The sequence below is a fragment of the Homo sapiens genome, chromosome 2 (genome assembly GCF_000001405.40).
Source record: "Homo sapiens chromosome 2, GRCh38.p14 Primary Assembly".
Taxonomy (NCBI): Eukaryota; Metazoa; Chordata; class Mammalia; order Primates; family Hominidae; genus Homo; species Homo sapiens.
The window spans coordinates 141,029,966-141,051,022 of record NC_000002.12 but is presented as its reverse complement, the minus strand read 5'-3'; the positions used below and the strand labels follow the sequence as shown (position 1 = coordinate 141,051,022).

The 21,057-nt window shown below is 35.3% G+C and overlaps 1 protein-coding gene across 3 annotated transcripts in view; it reads left to right on the top strand.

Annotated features, from left to right (window-relative positions):
• The window catches only part of LRP1B (LDL receptor related protein 1B), a 1,899,594-nt gene that overhangs the window by 1,079,994 nt on the left and 798,543 nt on the right, over positions 1 to 21,057 (top strand). For all 3 annotated transcript variants that reach the window (NM_018557.3, XM_017004341.2, XM_047444771.1), the window contains exon 11: positions 1,801 to 2,037. In NM_018557.3, the coding sequence (NP_061027.2) occupies positions 1,801 to 2,037 (237 nt within the window). The remainder of the gene's footprint in view (positions 1 to 1,800; positions 2,038 to 21,057) is intronic.

Genomic DNA, 21,057 nt, shown 5'->3' with positions numbered 1-21,057 from the left:
TTCGTGTTTGTTGGCTGCATAAATGTCTTCTTTTGAGAAGTGTCTGTTCATATCCTTTGCCCACTTTTTGATGTTTTTGGTTTTTTCTTGTAAATGTGTTTAAGTTCCTTGTAGATTCTGGATACTAGTCCTTTGTCAAATGGGTAGATTGCGAAAATGTTCTCCCATTCTGTAGGTTGCCCATTCACTCTGATGCTAGTATCTTTTGCTGTGCAGAAGCTCTTTGGTTTAATTAGATCCCATTTGCCAACTTTGGCTTTTGTTGCAATTGCTGTTGGTGTTTCAGTCATGAAGTCGTTCCCCATGCCTGTGTCCTGAATGGTATTCCCTAGGTTTTATTCTAGGATTTTTATGGTTTTGGTTTACATTTAAGTCTTTAATCCATCTTGAGTTAATTTTTGTATAAGGTGTAAGGTGTAACCAAACCCTGCATGTTTTCACTCATAAGTTGGAGTTGAACAATGTGAACACATGGACACAGGGAGGGGAACAACACACAACGGGGCCTGTCAGGGATGAAGGGCAAGGGGAGGGACAGCATTAGGACAAATACCAAATGCATGTGGGGCTTAAAACCTAGATGACCGGTTGATAGGTGCAGCAAACCACCATGGTGCATGTATGCTATCTATGTAACAAACCTGCACACTCTGCATATGTACCCAGAACTTAAAGTAAAATTTTTAAAAAAATTACCAATATTCTTTTATATATATTTAATATTCAATTACCCTAATTTAAAAAACACAAGAAAAGAAATATAAATGTTAATATACTTTGTATTGTTAGGTTTATAAATAATTGCTTATTTTTTATTTTATTATTTTCCAAATTTTAATAATATATTATTTTACTTTACTATGAATATCAATTATTGTGTTGTTATCCAAATACAGCTGAGTCTTTTGTATCTTCAGTTTTATTAATAAAGCTCAGTATGTTTTTCCTTGTATATAAAAACTATTTCCTTTAAAATTATACACAGTTAACCAAGTATAAGATGCTCCGATAATTGGAGAATCTTGTATATATTTTTATATAGAAGTCTAAAATAAGGAATTCATTTTATAGAAAGAGCTACCTTGATGCTGACATTTTAAACTCAGGAGACAGTTTTTTGCTTGGGGTTTTCATTTTCGTTTTGTTTTTGATAAGGCCTGTGTTGTACATCAGAGTTACTGTCAGACAGCATCAGCCTCTAACATTCTAATTAAAATTTGAAGATAAAGGGATGCTATAACTGGTATTTAATTTTATTTCTAAAAAGAATAAGTCACATGTTTGGGCAACTGTAATATATTCACATGCAAGTTAGTGATACTATATGATTCTTTGTTTGCCTCTGACAATTTGTAGATGCAAACTTGGGGTTGGTGTGTCTTAAATTTTCTGAAGTTTTTAGCATTGTCAAATATAATGAATGGTACAGTTAGTATCGACAGAAAATGTTAGATAGATTATAATACATTATAAAATTAAATGTGCCCGATGTTTTAATAAATGCCGGTTTTACAAGTTACAAGTTATCTAATGATCTGTCATGTTTTTGCTATCCAGACAGTTACAGACAAAGGGATAATTAACTACATATAACCCATTTGCGGAAGTAATTTCTGTTTTAATTAAAGTAATGCAATTAGCTGGCCTTCTTGCATCAAGATACATTTGGCATATTTTAGAGTTTAATTTTTAGCATTGAATTTAAAAAACGCTAATTGTGCCAGTTAAACGGTGGCATTATGCAGTGTAAAGAAGATTAAGCAGCATCAGTTGTTTGTGTTTGTAATCTTTCCTCTGCAGGACCAAAGAATGAGTTGTTCCTCTTTTATGGGAAAGGACGCCCAGGAATTGTTAGAGGAATGGACTTGAATACCAAGATAGCTGATGAATACATGATCCCCATAGAAAATCTGGTAAACCCTCGTGCTTTAGACTTTCACGCAGAAACCAATTACATCTACTTTGCTGACACCACCAGTTTCCTAATTGGCCGGCAGAAGATAGATGGCACAGAGAGAGAAACCATCCTGAAAGATGGTAAGTGACACTGTGACATTAACATCAAACTACCCAGAGATGAAGCACTTTAAAAGGATAAATCCAGTGTGTGTCAGACTAGCTTTAACCAGAACTCAAGTTCTTCTGGTTGGTTCAAAAATATTTTTTAATGTTATTTCTTCATTAACATTGTTTCTCTGTTTTCATATACCAGTGTATTAAAGCCTTCATTATAAAATGGGACTTGGTGTTGTCTACTATATTCTAAATATTATCGGAATTAAAACTGAACTATTATCCATCTTCTGGGAAATGTCAATTTATACTGATATGTTTACAGTGCTGTATGGTAGAAGATGAAATTTAATAGGATTTCAGAGACTTGTAATAGTTGGTTTTCATTAGACTATTGATCATGTCACTCAAAATGCATGAAAAATATCAATGTCCACATTGTCATCACAATTCTTGCATTTTATTTTTTACTTTACACATCACTGAAATGAAGTTTTCTAGAGTTGCCCTTGGAATATCAGTATCTCCAGAGAAACTTAAAACATTTATATCTATTTTTATTTATAGGTACATATATGAAGTCATATACATAAAAACAGATAGAGATATATTTTAATAAAACCAATGTATATTATAAATTATTTGGCTTAGGAACAAGTAATCTAGTAACAAAAGAATGTTAACTTTGGTATCAGTAGAAAAGATTGCAAATAATAAATCAAACCAGATCTTCACTGGCTGCCAGTCATTTTTAGGCATGTTAACTAATGATTCTGGACCTGTTTCCTCATGTATAAAGTCTGCTTACTTCTTGAATATTTTAGAAATACATAATTTGAGGAACATTAATTGTGTGCTTATTGTATGAAGGACATCACGATAGCTATATCGCAGGAGATAAAAGGAATTTTAGGGAATGACTTCTGCCTTCAAGGGGTTCATAATCTACCTTTGGAGATGATATAAGCACACAAAAAGTTTCAAGACACTGCAGCATTTAATTAATAAGTTCAAAGCTGTCTTGAAGAAATATATGATTAATAGAGAATGCCTATGTAATGGATATTCACAGGAAGCAAGAGATATCTTTATGTGGGTATACTCAGATAACTCCTTCGGCAGGAGATGGTGTTTGGACTAGATCTTAATGGAGAAACATTAAAGAGGGAGAGGAGGATGTTTCTGCAACCAGAAATTCCATGATAAAAAAAGAAAAGCACAATCTCTAGAAAGAGGGTGTGGGGGACCTAAATGGAAAGCTGCTGGAGGTTCCTTTACAGATAATAATGGCACAAGAGAGTCGAAAGTGAAAGGCACTAAAATGCGCTAAAATAAAGGGCCTTGAAGGTAAGTGAAGGAGTTTGGAAAAAATCCCAAAGGAATAAAAAGAAATGCTTTTGAGTCAAAGAATAATGTGAACAAAGTGATATTTTAGGAGGATCGATCACGTTGTTTGGTGCAGAATGAATCAGAACTTTATTGAGATGAGAAAAGATGAGAAAATAAAAGCAGAGAGATAGACTAAAATTATTTACAGCATGGATGGTGTAAATGGTGGTCTCTCCAATCTTTTAGAGGAAATGAGAGCATGAGAATATTCTTCATTCAACACAACTTTACTTTAAATCAAACCTGATAAAAAGTATACTTTCTATGCTAAAATAAAAACGTACCTGTTTTTGTCTTTAATATAATTTACGGATTAAGGCAACGTAAATCCTGCATAATTTAAAATTCCAAAGGAGTATCTAATTTAAGATTTTCACTTTAAATTGGATGTGACAGAGGCTGTCTGCCTACTTTTCTCTTAATGTGATAGCAGATGATAGGGTCCTGACAGTTTTAGATGGACAAAGAAATTGCACATTCTGTCTAAGTAGATAAAATTTACGTTGTTTTGTTTTTGACCCAGACACTTGCATTTATTATTATTATTATTATTATTATTATTATTAATTTTTGTGCAGTGCTGCAATCTTGGCTCACTGCAACCTCCGCCTCCGAAGTTTAAGTGATTCCCTTGCCTCAGCCTCCTGAGGAGCTGGGATTGCAGGTGTGCACCATCATGCCTGACTAATTTTTGTATTTTTACTAGAGACGGGGTTTCACCATGTTGGCCAGGTTGGTCTCAAACTCCTGACCTCAGGTGATCTGCCTGCCTCAGCTTCCCAAAGAGCTGGGATTACAGGCATGAGCCACCATGCCTGGCCAACACAGACACTTTCAAGGACCAAAATGCAACATAGAGAGTTCTTGGTTTCCTTTTAAACTGTGTCAGCTCCTGTACTATGACTGGATGTTCCTGCTAATAATCTTAACTTTGAGAATAATATCAAGGACATTGGTGGTTCTTTGCATTCCACCTATCACAACAGAGATCGACTCTAATAGCCACAATGACCGCCAGGCATATCTGTCCAGTACTGCTTTGACAGTATGAAGGTTATGAGAACATTTTGCAAATTTTCACACCTGAAATATATTTAACATTTTTGTCTTTCTACACAAGGAACAGCTTAATATCTTTTATTAGTTTATCTTTTTTCTTTCCATTAAAGAGAATAATGATACACATTACAATATGAGATTAACGTGTCAAAGCAGAGACTTAGATTTGGCAAATGACAACTTGTCATTCTTGGCATCAGAAAAATTAAATTCTATGTGTATTCACTTATTTAGGTAGAGTGTCTACCTTTCAACCTGAAGACTGCGAGGCAATGCTTAGTTTGACACATGATTTGGAAGCTTGATAGAAATTCTGAGACATTGATAAATTTACGTAGTTTGAAGTACAAGGGTATAAAGAGTTTGCTGTTTGTAAATAAACATAAATATCTTGGACATCTTTTATGTAAGCTCAGATTCTCCCTCTTAAGAAATAAAAACAACAACATTTCCAAAAAAATCCATCTTTATTCATTATTTGATTTTTTTTCTCCTAGAGGTTTATTGAAAACCCCCTAAATGTTGCATATACTGTTGGCTTTGAGGAATCTCATGGGTGAAAACAGCAATCAAATCAATGAGAAAGGAAATTGTCCATTGTTATATTTACATGTATCTCATTTCATCTGCTAAGTGAAAACATATTACTGATTTATTAAAGATAAACTTCCATAAAGACGAGATATTTACTATGTGTATTTTTTCACCCACCTGGAATCTTTGTCAAAATTTTTGTAAAATTCATACTATTCCTTTTTTAAAAATTAATTACTTGATTTATTATTTTTCAGTCAATAAAAAGTGAATGCCGTATCGGGGCCAGGTGCTGTTCTAGGTGATAGGAATGCTTCAGTAAAGAGGATAAAGCTTCATATTTAGCATATATCCAACAGCAGAAAGGGAATAATAAGCCAGTAAACACATAAATGAATAAGATAATGATAACTGCTATAAAGAAACTAAAGTAGGGTACTGTGCTAGAAAATAAAAGGGGTATCAACAGGAGGCAAAGTTAGATTAAATGGTTAGAGAATTTAAATTAGCCATTCTTGCCAGGTGTAATTGTTACTTTCTCTAACAGAACAAGATAGATGCTCTTTCTTTTTTTTTTAATTAATTAATTAATTTATTTATTTTTATTATTACACTTTAAGTTTTAGGGTACATGTGCACATTGTGCAGGTTAGTTACATATGTATACATGTGCCATGCTGGTGCGCTGCACCCACTATCTCGTCATCTAGCATTAGGTATATCTCCCAGTGCTATCCCTCCCCCCTCCCCCCACCCCACAACAGTCCCCAGAGTGTGATATTCCCCTTCCTGTGTCCATGTGATCTCATTGTTTAATTCCCACCTATGAGTGAGAATATGCGGTGTTTGGTTTTTTGTTCTTGCGATAGTTTACTGAGAATGATGATTTCCAATTTCATCCATGTCCCCACAAAGGACATGAACTCATCATTTTTTATGGCTGCATAGTATTCCGTGGTGTATATGTGCCACGTTTTCTTAATCCAGTCTATCATTGTTGGACATTTGGGTTGGTTCCAAGTCTTTGCTATCATGAATAATGCTGCAATAAACATACGTGTGCCTGTGTCTTTATAGCAGCATGATTTATAGTCCTTTGGGTATATACCCAGTAATGGGATGGCTGGGTCAAATGGTATTTCCAGTTCCAGATCACTGAGGAATCGCCACACTGACTTCCACAATGGTTGAACTAGTTTACAGTCCCACCAACAGTGTAAAAGTGTTCCTATTTCTCCACATCCTCTCCAGCACCTGTTGTTTCCTGACTTTTTAATGATTGCCATTCTAACTGGTGTGAGATGGTATCTCATTGTGGTTTTGATTTGCATTTCTCTGATGGCCAGTGATGATGAGCATTTTTTCATGTGTCTTTTGGTGCATAAATGTCTTCTTTTGAGAAGTGTCTGTTCATGTCCTTTGCCCACTTTTTGATGGGGTTGTTTGTTTTTTTCTTGTAAATTTGTTTGAGTTCATTGTAGATTCTGGATATTAGCCCTTTGTCAGATGAGTAGGTTGTGAAAATTTTCTCCCATTTTGTAGGTTGCCTGTTCACTCTGATGGTAGTTTCTTTTGCTGTGCAGAAGCTCTTTAGTTTAATTAGATCCCTTTTGTCAATTTTGTCTTTTGTTGCCATTGCTTTTGGTGTTTTAGACATGAAGTCCTTGCCCATGCCTATGTCCTGAATGGTAATGCCTAGGTTTTTTTCTAGGGTTTTTATGGTTTTAGGTCTAACGTTTAAGTCTTTAATCCACCTTGAATTGATTTTTGTATAAGGTGTAAGGAAGGGATCCAGTTTCAGCTTTCTACATACGGCTAGCCAGTTTTCCCAGCACCATTTATTAAATAGGGAATCCTTTCCCCATTGCTTGTTTTTCTCAGGTTTGTCAAAGATCAGATAGCTGTAGATATGCGGCGTTATTTCTGAGGGCTCTGTTCTGTTCCATTGATCTATATCTCTGTTTTGGTACCAGTACCATGCTGTTTTGGTTACTGTAGCCTTGTAGTATAGTTTGAAGTCAGGTAGTGTGATGCCTCCACCTTTGTTCCTTTGGCTTAGGATGGACTTGGTGATGCGAGCTCTTTTTTGGTTCCATATGAACTTTAAAGTAGTTTTTTCCAATTCTGTGAAGAAAGGCGTTGGTAGCTTGATGGGGATGGCATTGAATCTTAAGACTGAATTCATTTTTATCTTCTTGAATATCCTTTCCAAGATTTATTTTTCATTGTAATATGAATTATAATTTTACCAGGAAGGAAATAATATAAAAATGATAATTTACTATTCAATTTATTGTTACATGTATTCCACTAGTGCAGTACTTGTTTTTAAACTGTATGCCTTCATTCTACTCAAATGCAGATATTTAAATAGAAGAAATGTTAAAATAACCTTTCATATCATTTCATATTTTTAAAGTATTAAAAAGAATTCAAAGCATTTTTACCTAGATTTGAATATTAATGCTTGCAGCTTTAACAGAAAAACTGTAGTTTCCATAGATCCTATAATTAAACTGGGGACTTGAGGTCACTGTTTTACATAATACAAAGGCTTTCTTTACCAAACTTTTTTCATAATAGACATATAGGGATAATGTGGGTTGAAAAGGGTGATAATTTTGCCGCTTCTTTTGTTGTGGCATTGATGAAGATTCAATTCATCTACTTCAAGTCGTAAGTCATACTGCAAGTAAAACAATGCAAACATAAGATTTATATGTACAGTTCTTCCCAACTGTGATTCTTTTCTTTTCTTTTTCTTTTTATTTTATTTATTTATTTATTTGTTTATTTATTTTAATTTATTTTATTTTATTTTTTTTGAGACAGAGTCTTACTCTGTCATCCAGGCTGGAGTGCAGTGGTGTGATCACGACTCACTGCATCCTCCTCCTCCTGCACTCAAGTGATCTTCCCTCCTCAGCCCCTCAAGTGGCTAGGAACACAGGTGTGTGCCACCATGCTCAGCTAATTTTTTTTTTTTTTTTGTATTTTTTGTAGTGACAGCCTTTCACCATGTTGCCCCAGCTGGTTGCAAACTCCTGGGCTCAAGTGATCCACTTGCCTGAGCCCCACAAAGTGCTGGGATTACAGTCCCCAACGGTGATTTTTATAATTTTACGTAAAGTATGGGCCCAAGAGTACAAAATTTGACCTCTATTATAATTAGATGCAAGTTTGGCAGAACATTATGTCCTCTAGATGTATCCTTTTAATTTTAGACTATACCACCTTATTTTGTGATAATAAAATCAATGACAGCAATAATAGTGAACATTTAATGAGTACTTACTCTGTATCAAGATTGCTCACGTTATGTTCATTGTCCCATACAATCCACTCAACAGCTCCCCGAGGTCAGCATTATTATTAGCTCCATTTTATAGATTGGAAATTGAGACTCAGACAGGTGAAGTCTTTTCTCAAAGTTACATAGCTAGTAAGTGATACCACTTGTCAAGAACTGTGAAAGCACTGAGATTTTATTATGTTTGTAAACTAAAACATTAGCCTGCTACACGTTCATGGATGCTGGCAGGAGACATGAAACTTCAGAGACAAAGTACAGTTTATTACTAAGATCAATAACAATAGCCAGAGTATCTGTAATTTTGTTTCAGGATCCTGATCTGTACTCCCCACAGGGTAACCCAAAGGTGACACCTGCACATACCATGGCACATGTTACAAGAGACGAATCTGGAGCTTAGGGAACGCCCATTTTTTTTTCTCTTAACAATAAGCATGCCTGTTGATTGCTCCAGAAAAAGTTACTTTCTCCATGTTCTAAGCCTATAAGCAAACCTGCCTTTTGCTTCAGAGAGAGATGTAATCTCTATCTTCCAAGGACATTTACCTTATTAACATCCTTGAAAATAGAGTCTAAGGCACTTGGCTTCTCTTTTCCCAAGGTGGACAGAAATGTGAGAGAACCTTGGAACATTGTCTCAGCAATACTGATATGCAAGTTACTGTGATCTGATTTTGGAGTCTGTGGTATGCTGAACAATGCCCTCCAAATAATATCTAGGTCCTCATCCCCAGAACCTTTGATTCTTACCTCGTATGGAAAAGGGGACTTGCCAGTGTGATTAAGTGAAAGGATTTTTGATGGGAGGAAGATGCTACTTTTTAAAAAAAATTTGTTGACACATAATAATTGTACATATTTATAGGGTACAAAGTCATATTTGTACATACATACATGATATAACATGTAATGATCAAATCAAGGAAATTAGCCTATTCATCACCACAAACATTTATCATTTCTTAATGTTGTGACCATTCAGAATCTTCTTTGTAATGTTTTGAAAACGTACACCAAATTAGTGTTAACCATATTCACTCCTTGCAGTGCTAGAGAACACTAGAACTTGTTCCTCCCATATAGCTGTAACTATGCATGTGTTGAGGATCTTGAGATAGGAAATTATCTTGACTTATCTGGAGGTACTCTAAATGTAATCACAAGGAAATTTATAAGGGGGAGGCCAGGACAAAGGAGGAAGTAGGGGTCATGACTATGGAAGCAAGAGGATGGCATAATACAAGGCCCTGAGCCAAGAAAGGCAGGTGGCTTCCAGAAGCTGGAAAAGGCAAAGAAATGGACTCTTCCTGAGACTCCCCAGAAGGGATCAGCTCTGCTTGCACCTAGACTTTAGCCCGGTGAAACCAGTCCTGGATATTGACCTTCAGAACTGTCAAAGAATAAATTTATGTTGTTTTAAGCCACCAAGTTTGTGACAATTTGTTACAGCAACAATAGGAAACTGGCAGAGTCTGTGCTCCTACCCCCTTGCTATACTGATATACTGACTTTACGTATGAAGGTGTGTTCTATTTGATTGACATAAGGAGTAGGTGCACATGCTTCCACCTGATAATATCAGAAGAGAAGTTGACTTGGATCTCGTTCAAAATTATACATTACTCTTTAATTTCATAGCTCCTGTAAATACCTGGAAAACCGAGGTCTTCCTTTAAATGAAGGTACTTTTTAGGAGCTATAAAGTTAAAGAGTAATGAATAAGTTTGACATGATCCAAGGTAGGTTTCTCTTTTATGACATTATGAAGAGAAGAATAGCCAGGAAGAATGAGAAGCAGTCTCTTTCTGTCAAATATATTCTCCGAAAGATGTGTTTAATCTGTTCACATACTATGAAAGGACAGTGCTATATTCATGTGATTGCTTATTTGGCAATTGAAGGGCCAAGCCCTACTCTTCAGCTCAGTCCTGTCCCCAGCATCTTCAGAATTGCCCTGTGGATTTTATAATCAGCTGTCCCTCCAATTGTGTGTTGAAATGTGTAGCCCATCAATTATTCTCTGATTTATCATTCGATTACTTAGAAATCCTACTACTGACACACAGACACACACATACACATGTGCGCACACACACACACAATCACCAGCTTAAGACCCACTTCAGAACTCCAGAAATAGGTTAGCCTCTATTCTAAATAACCCTAGGACAGGCACATACAGCAGATTACAGGATGTAATCTGTACCTGAATGACACTGACCTTATAGTAGGATTATCATTTTCTGCACCTTTAAATCACCTCTTACCCTTGGATTTCAATGATCTTCAGCATTGTATAACTTTGGCAGGATTTCTCATAAAGATTGAGTTTCGTAGTAATGAAGCAAACATGCTGAGATAACACTAATGAATTACATTAGAGTGTTCTTATGAAATTTAAAGTGTGATAATGTCTTATAAAACATTTTAAATTAAGAACAAGCCTTTACTCTTCATTATTGGATTTCAGGTAAATATCAATCTTATTTTTCTGCCTTTAACTCTGAACTTTTTCTCTTGAAGAAAAGCTTTAAGACTCTAAGATATATACTCTGACCAACTATTAAAGGAAATAATGAGTACATTTGTCAGTCATGCCATATAGTCTAAATAAAATTGTAAAGGAGATATTTGTCAACATTTGCAACTCTTGAGATCAATGAATATTGTTATCACACTGAGTGTCAAGAATATAGCCTGTTTGCACATACTGACTCCTGTTGACAGTGAATAAGACATTTTCATAGAATTTACTTGAGATTTGATTCTTGAAAACAGTGTTCAGTTTCACATTTAGTCTGTAAATATATATTTCTCATATTATTTCTCCAGAACTAGATGAGATGTTTGAAAAGTAATTTGAACCAATATATGTATTTTTGTCTGAAAAGTAGACATGCATACGAGAAGATTAAAATATGGGTTATAAAACCTATCAAATGATGAAAAGATGGAATTGGCTATGGTGGCTAGAGGGTTCTAGTAAACACAGAGGAGAAGACATCCTTTCCTTTATTTCCACCCAAAATAAGCATGTGTACATATGCATCCGTAATGACAAACACAAAATATACCCATATGTATATACACATGTGAGCTCAAAAGAGCTCTAGAAACTTCTGTAAAGAAGTCTATTATAGATGTTAGATTGCTGGGAAGGTCAAAAGAGAGAAGGTGAAAATACATGGTAATCTCTAAAGTCCCATAGAGCTACAGTAGCCCCCTTTATCGGAGGTAAATAAGTTCAAAAACCCTCAGTGGATACCTGAAACCATGGATAGTGTTGAACTCTATATATACACCATGTTTTTTCTTATGCACACATACCTGTGATAAAATTTAATTTATAAATGGGCATAGTAAGAGACTCACAACAATAATGATAATAAAATAGAACAATTATAACAACATGCTATAATAAATGTTATGTGCATGTAGTCTCTGTCTCTCAAAATACCTTACTGTACTGTACTCACTCTTCTTGTGGTCTGTCAATCTTACAACCTGGGTGGCCAGTAAGTGAATAACAGATAGGTAACATAGAGTGTGGATATGCAGGATGAAGGAATGATTCCCGTGCTAAGCAGGACTGAGTGAAATGACAGTGCAAGGTTTCAAAATGTTACTCAGAACAGCAGACAATTTAAAACTTATGAGTTGTTTACTTCTGGAATTTTCCATTTAGTATTTTCAGACTGTGGCTGACAAAGAGTAACTGAAACCACGGAAGGTGAAACCATGGTTAAGACTGTTGTATTATTATATATATAATTGTTACATTAATAAATATTCTGATTGGTAATTTTCTTACACACTTAAATAAATTACCAATATTCAGCATGAATTAAAATAAAGAAATACATTCAACTCAGTTACTTTATCATACTTAGCATTATGGAATTCTTAGTTACTACTTCAGAAGTCCTTTAGGAATTCTTCATTTACTTAGGAATACTATTATGAACTTTAACTACAATTAAACTATTGCTTAGGTTAGTTAATACGAATTTCTCAATACAATATAGTTAGTCTAGATTGACTTGACTTTAGGGATACCAAAGTAGGAAGCACTACCTCAAATTGTGAGACTGAACAATATCCATAATACATGCTGAGAAAACTCCCACGACACTAGCTATTATGAGAACATTTTAGGGAGTAGTAATAGTCATTGTGTAACCAGTATGTTTAAAAATGTGACTCTGACATATCTAAGGCATAACTTTATTTTTACCTCCCACTGACCTTTAAAATGTACTCAGTAATCTTTCTTACTCCACATCAAAACTTGGTCAAATCCCAATCCTTTCAGCTTACACTAGGTAGTAGTAGACAGAACTGTCAGTCATTTTAAGTCAGAAATGAAATCTCAATTTGGTCATTAGAATGCATAGTCCACCATATATACACACAAATCAAAATTCTAAATTCATTGTGTCATCAAATCTTACTTGTTTCCCACTTTTGTGCTGCCTCTGGCCCGGAGAAGGACTGGAGGGCGTATTTGTTGCATTCTCTGTTTCTCTGCCCTGCATTTATTTTCCCACCCCTCCCAGCTTGCTAGATTTTTTTTTTAATTATTTTTAGTTTTTACTTTTCTGGGCTGAATATCTATATGTCCCTGCTAGTTAGCTTCTGATGCCCACTCACCTCTCAACATTGATTGGAAGAGGTAACAGTGGTAAAGAGAGGTAAGGAGATTTAAAAAATCTTATTTGAACTAGTCCCATTATACTTTAGCCTCTTTGTGAGCCTGGTAGATCTTTTAAAATAGACTCTCTTGAGGGGTATGGATGTGTGTGTGTGTGTTTGTATGTGAGTGTGTGTGTACATGCACGTGCGCATGTGTCTGTGTGTGTCTGTGCTTGCAAGGTTTTTGGAAGTCTTCCTTCTGCTGGATCTTTCTAATTTCATTTCCTTTGGCCAAAGGACATGAAGTTTTTGCTTGTTACTTTGCATCCCCGAATGTCCATTCTCTTATTGTTTGAATCCCTGTATCCAGCTGGACAACCTTGTTGCACTAGATCAAAGATATTTATCTGCCAGAATTCTATCCTGTGTGGTCTGCCTTTGGTCTGCAGAATTACTGTGAGCCTTTTGCCCCAATATACTCTGGGAGTGCAGCCATAGTGCAAATCAGCCAACACTATCCTGCCTACTATCCTATAGAATGTGTTTAGCTTTCTCAAGTGTGAGCCAGAAGTGAGACATTCTGAGACGTGAGTTTCATGCATGGAAAAAAAATCAACTGAAGAGAGCTAAGTTCAAAGTCCTCATAGAGGCACCACAGAAGCTCCATCACTAGAGTTGAGGTGAAAAGTATCCCTCCATCCTCTCCTTCCTATTTTAGAGGTTCACATAAGTAAAATTTATATCTGGAGAAAAAGCATATTTATTGTCAGTTTATTAGTGTGAAGGATTTGGCCAATCAAATAGGCTGGATTTGGGTTTTGTTTTTGTTATAATTACCTTTACGGAGCCAAAGCTTTCAGATCCCTCCCTTGGTGGACAGATGCTACTTTGTGCTTAGCGTGGGACCTGGAATATGTCTTTTCATCCCTCAGTTTTCAATATTTCCTGCATGTCAGCCTTACTGGAAGGTCTCTCTCCACACTCTTATCCTTCTCTCAATGGTAGAATGCTGTGACCTGTTACTAAGTGGAAGATTCATGGTGGATGCAAAAAAAGGTTCTCTTTTCTCTTGTGCCAGTCTTGGTCTTAGGTCCTGCGTGTCTGGGTTTTGAAGGTGGGCCCTTCTCCTCCTGTGGCAGTGAAACTCTGCCTTATATCTAGGGGAGTTTTGGGCAGGAGATAATTTTCTGCCCCATCCCCAGGGCAGCAATTGTCTTTTTTTTTAATATCAATATACAATTTTGTGTCCGGGCAATTTTTGTGCCCCTTTTCCAGGGTTAGACAGCTTTCGCTCCTATTCTTCCCTGAGTGTTGCTGTACCTTTGTCTGGGACCAGTGGCAACAGAATTTCTTACCCATTTCCAAGCAATACACTAGCATTGCTTGCTATGACTAACAAGTTTGTAGTGGGACCAGGGGGTTTCTTACCCCTCCCTCAGGGACATATGGCTTTGCCTTTTACTTCTGCTTCAATGACAACTTGTCTTTGCAGCTTACTTTGCCTTTGGAGGAAAAAGGGTTCCCTGCTCCTTTTCTAGAGGCAGATTATTTGTTTGTACCTCTTTCACAGGACCGTTGTCTTGCTTCAGGGAGGTGGAAGGTCTTCTTTCTCTTCCCCAGTGGTTTAGGAGTTTTCCTTTGTATCAGAGAAGAGTCAGGATTGGATGGGGTTTCATGTTTGTGAGACACTCAGGGATCTCTCTCAGGTTTCCAGTTTTGCCTTCCATCTTTCTCTTGTAAATTCAGTGAAAGAAATTCTTTGTGTTGGGTATTCCCAGGGATTCTAAATTATCACATTAAACCACACTCAGTTTTAAGAATATTTTATTATTATAGCTTTTTTTTTAATCTGCTATTATGGTAGTCGCCTCTTCTTCCCATGCTCTGACAAAGAGTAATACTTTATGTGTTCTGTTTCTCCTGGAAAAGGTCTGTCACCCTTTGCATTTCAATGTATTTTGCTGTCTTGAGACCTAAGCTTTTGTTTGGATTCAAGTAAATTTGTGATCTTGTAGATTATTGGGTTTACGCTTATTGTTATTCTTTTGTGGCTTTCTGCATTGCATCTTAAGCAAAGCCGAGCTCTGAATGTTTATAGTTCATGAGTGCAAATAGGAATTTGAGGAACAAGATGGAAATAGTTTTTAAAACTGTTTTCTTTCCCTTTTCCTTAGAGTTAGAATCAATTAAAACATAGTTGAGCACTTCCGTGAATATATGTGAATCCCTTGTGATGCTTTAAATATCCACAGTTTACACATAAAGGCATTTTACTTGATGCAAAAAGATTTAAGTGTTTTCTACTTTCAATAAGCTCATTTTGTATTTTTTTAACAAAAAAATAAAAGTAGCAGTGGGAGTTTTCACTGTATAAAAAGAAAAATTGGTTTATGTGTTATATTATCAGAAAAAATCTTTTATTTAAAGAGATGGTACAGGATGATATGATTAAAGGTAATCTATAAATCTGATCCTTATTTTTTTATAAAGATTTCTATTTATCTACAAAAATATCATATAATTGCCAAATATCTGTCAGATAGAAGGCAAAGTGTTTATCTGAAAATATCAAGTGGTTGTTCTCAAAGAGTTTATATTCTTATTGGATGCATCTGCCAAATAATAAATGAAACGAGGGACTAAATATAAGGCTAAGCAAATAATTCAACTTTACTTTGCACTCTATAACAATACTGAAAAGATTTTTTTATTATTATTATTATTATTATTGTACTTCAAGTTTTAGGGTACATGTGCACAATGTGCAGGTTAGTTACATATGTATACATGTGCCATGCTGGTGTGCTGCACCCATTAACTCGTCATTTAGCATTAGTTATATCTCCTAATGCTATCCCTCCCCCCTTCCCCCACCCCACAACAGTCACCAGAGTGTGATGTTCCCCTTCCTGTGTCCATGTGTTCTCATTGTTCAATTCCCATCTATGAGTGAGAACATGCGGTGTTTGATTTTGTCCTTGCGATAGTTTGCTGAGAATGATGATTTCCAATTTCATCCATGTCCCTACAAAGGACATGAACTCATCATTTTTTATGGCTGCATAGTATTCCATGGCATATATGTGCCACATTTTCTTAATCCAGTCTATCATTGTTGGACATTTGGGTTGGTTCCAAGTCTTTGCTATTGTGAATAGTGCCGCAATAAACATACATGTGCATGTGTCTTTATAGCAGCATGAATCATAGTCCTTTGGGTATATACCCAGTAATGGGATGGCTGGGTCAAATGGTGTTTCTACTTCTAGATCCCTGAGGAATCGCCACACTGACTTCCACAATGGTTGAACTAGTTTACAGTCCCACCAACAGTGTAAAAGTGTTCCTATTTCTCCACATCCTCTCCAGCACCTGTTGTTTCCTGACTTTTTAATGATTGCCATTCTAACTGGTGTGAGATGGTATCTCATTGTGGTTTTGATTTGCATTTCTCTGATGGCCAGTGATGATGAGCATTTTTTCATGTGTTTTTTGGCTGCATAAATGTCCTCTTTTAAGAAGTGTCTGTTCATATCCTTCGCCCACTTTTTGATGGGGTTTGTTTTTTTCTTGTAAATTTGTTTGAGTTGATTGTAGATTCTGGGTATTAGCCCTTTGTCAGATGAATAGGTTGTGAAAATTTTCTCCCATTTTGTAGGTTGCCTGTTCACTCTGATGGTAGTTTCTTTTGCTGTGCAGAAGCTCTTTAGTTTAATTAGATCCCATTTGTCAATTTTGTCTTTTGTTGCCATTGCTTTTGGTGTTTTAGACATGAAGATATTTTTAACAAAATAAATTGATAACAGTCCTGGGAAACTGAAAAATATACCATCAGCGATCAGAAATAATGGGAATTTCCTAATTGGAATACAGATTGAACCAGACTGACTAACAAGATCACCAGAAACCATAGCTTAAGATACCATAGGTGTAAACTTGAAATATAAGAGTTGAGAAAGAGGAACACCATGATCCTAATAAAAACTAAAAGAGATTTTTTTAAAGGCCTTAAGGCACTCTTTAAAGAAAGTTAATAATTAACTGCACTTAAAATAATGAGTCCAGTTCAATCCATCCCAGCTACTTTAAGTATACCCCTAGAAGCATACTCAAAGAATGGAATTGAAATAACTGTCTATTCACTTGGGAGGAAGTTAAAGTTTTGTCTCAAAAATCATACAAAAATAAAGCTTCAAGAACACAAAAAATATAAAATTTAGAAATATGGGGATTTTGTTTGGGTTAAATGAAAACATTTATTGTTCACAGTTCTAGAGGTAGGAGGTACTTCAACAAGGTGCCAGCAGATTCAGTGTCTGGTGAGGGCTCTCTTTCAGGTTTGCAGACAGCCTCCTTCTCACAGTGTTCCCATGGGGTGGAAAGAAAGAGCTCTGGCCTCTTCCTCTTAGAAGGACACTAATTCCATCATGGCAGTTACTCTCATGACCTCATCTAAGCCTAATTACCTCCCAAAGGCCTCACCTTCTAGTACCAGACCATTGGGAGCTAATTAGGGCTTCAACATATGATTTTTTTTTTTTTGAGGGACAGGAACATTCAGTCCATAGCAGATGTTTACTGTCACTTTAAGCAATAAATTTGGGGGCAATTGTTACACATCAATGGACAACTAATATACTCCCCTATAGCTTATTCTCAGCACAACAGCCTGAGTAGTTTTTTAAATTTTAAATCTAGTCTGGTTAATCTACTTACAACTTTCCAATGACTTCCTGTCACTCAAAATAAGTTCTTAGCGCTCACCACGTCCTGGAAGGCTGAGAATGATCTGGCATCTGACTGCTTCTCTGTTCTCATTTTCCACTGTTCCTCCCCTCCCTTGCTCTCTCTGCCTAGCCACCTTCCCTCCCTCCCTTCCACCACTGTTCGTGCACACTCTTTTCTCACAGTTACCCCAGCACACCAACCCTCTTGCCACCTCAGGGCCTTTACCACGTGCTGTTTTCTGTCCTGTACATGCCTACCCCTGGACTCAATCATTCCCTTCAAGGCTCACTCCAAATGTTACCTCCCTGGGAAGTTTTCCTCAGTACTGTCTCTCCAGCAGCCCCATCCCCTGTTGCTGCCTGGCCCCTTGCTGTGATGCATCTTTTGTTGGGGCACCCATGTAGGGGATGTGCATGCCTGTGTGCGTATGGGGAAATATGTATTTTTTAATGGTTCTGGGATGCAAACATTTTCTAAGCAATGCAACGCAAAACACACACACACATATGCCTGCATATATATATATATGTATGTATATATATACACACACACATATACCTGCGTTAAAATTTTAGAAAACACATTTCTATGAAAAAGGCATTATGAGCAAGTGAAAACATGAAAGATAATCTAAGCAAAAATGTTCACAATTCATATAACAGAAAACAATGATTATGAAATAAAGACAATATCAGAAAAATTAAAAAGGACTTATTGAGGCAGTTCACAGAAGAAGAAATACAAATTTTCTGAATAGGAATATGGAAAGGAACTCAACATCATACTAATCACAAAAATGTAAATCAACAGAATAGTTTTCACCAAATTCATCAGATTAAAGAATGAAAGATTGATAATATGTAATATTAGAACATAAGAAAATATTTCCCACACTACTGGGGAGAATGTAAGTTGTTATATTGGTATTGAAGAATTATTTAGTAATAGCTGTCAATTTAAATGGTACATAAGATTCAAACCAATTCCACAATTAGTTACCTATTCTATAGACGTATACACATGTTCAAAAAGACACATTATTTGTAATCATAAATTGGAAACAATATAAAGTCCATCAGATGAGGCATGATGCATTTATGTTAGCAATAATATTAAGTAGCCGTTAAAATGAATGAGGTAGAGCTATATATACTTAAATCAACAAAACCCATAAATAGACAAAGTGAGTTAAAAGATATTTTTGCAGAATGATCCTATTTTTGCAAGTATATCCAAAAGTTTTTGGAAGGATCAATAAACTGTTTATAGTGATTACTTCTCTGGAGGGCCATATGAATTTTTGCACCTGCATCTGACTGTCTTTTAAAATTTGTACAACATGATATACATTCTTAGCTTGAGTAAGAATTACAAAGAAAATAACAAAGAAATGTGATTATAGGTAACCGTGTAAATACAAGTTTTTTTTTTGGTGCATCTAGTTTTTAGTCACATTAATATAAGTTGTAAGTTGGTTACTTCAAACATGGATGATTGCTTAAAAAAAATCTACATTTTCATCTTATGTTCTAAATGGGTGTTGTTTTATTTTAGTTTGTCTTTTGTCTGCTAAGCCCTTTCCTCAAAATCTTTATACACTTGAATCTCTTCCTTTTATACTTACATCAAGTGTTGTTGTTTTCTTCGTGAATAAAATGGTGTCTTATTTGGGGCTAGTGTGCTACAAGTTGTCTCTTCTGGATCCATAAACATCTATCTACTAACAGTCATTACTTAACCAGCTATTAAAAAATAGCTTCAGAACTATTTTTTGTAATCTATACATATTTAATTATTTTGGCAAGTCGCCTATATAGCATTTTGATTTGAAACTACCCAGAAGATTATAAAATTCAGATGAAGCAAAAGAGAAATATCAAATTTTATCTAATCATTGGCCTTCTTGTTTCATTTTAAAGGTAAAATATTGACTTAAAAAGTTTAAAGATTAGGTAGATCATTAATATAATAGAATATCCATCTGAGGTAACTAAGTAATACTCTTCAATTCTGATATAAGTTTTAGTGCATTTTTATTTCCTCTCTCTCTCTCTTTATATATATATGTATGTATGTGTGTGTGTGTGTGTGTGTGTGTGTGTGATATGTATATATGCCATTATATATAGCTCCTCCAGAAAAATCATGATTTTTACACACTCCATGGTCTGATGGTCTCAGCACTTAAAATTGTATTTTAAGCTAATGTAAATCATATTTTATTGACAAAATATCTGTTGCTGTATAACAGTAGCATTTGTGAAGTTCCTAGTATTTACCAGACATTTCATATCAATTATTCTGAATATGTAGGAGGTTTGTGGTTTTTGCTCATGTTAGGGACCTAGAGCTTATAGGAATTAAGAAATGTTCTCTTATAACTCAGACCAGGTTTATTTTAGACTCGGTCATAGACTAAGAAAAACAATATTGTGTATCCTCATACTTTTTGCCTCCCTCAAAAAAATGAGTGATGACTACCTCAGATCTTCCTTAAACACCTATCAATTCTCTTTTCTCTTTATTCATTAACTTTTATTTTTTCTTTATTATTCCTATGCAATTGGAAAGAATCAGAGTTCTCATCAAAATATGCATCTACTGTAGTATAGTATGCTATATTTAGATAACTTGAAGAAATATATTGTAATGATATTAGGACATTTAATGTGTGGTGATGGTCTGATAACCATATAAAATATTTTGATACACATCTGTTCCTTTCTTTGGTTAATACAAATCTGCCTGCACTGGATAGCAATGCACTCCTATCCCCAGCATTGACACTTTTATCTTTGTTATAAAAATGAGCTTTCATAAATCTTTATTGTTAATCATAGAAGAATGTGCATATTTTCTGTCAAAACAAATTACCTTGATATTTTAGCTATTAAGTTATTTGTAATTTGTCTTAAATAGAGGAATTTCAAATTGCAAGGTTTAACTCGCTATTATTTCAGGTAAAAAACAAAAAGTACCCTTTTTCAAGATAAAAAAGATATAGAGATATACATAAAATATCATTCTGAGACAAACATTTTCAAAATGTTTGTCAGTGTAACTATTCATGCCATGTTTAACATTTTTCTTTTCAAAGTATTTTATATATGTGGAATTTCAATGAAACTGAACCCATTCTGAGACTGCATATTTGAAAAAAGTAATTTGTATTTACTACTGTACTAGCCACAGAAACATAACTGAATATTCTTATGCAGTTTTGCCAAAAATATATGGCAAGTAACTTTTCATTTCAAGATAAGAAAACTCATTTAGAGGAATCAAAATGAACCAAAGAGTCTGAGAAATATCATTCACTTTTAAGGTAGAACCCCAACCTCATAGAACACGGATAATTTTGTCTTCCATGGGACATTTGATATTATCTA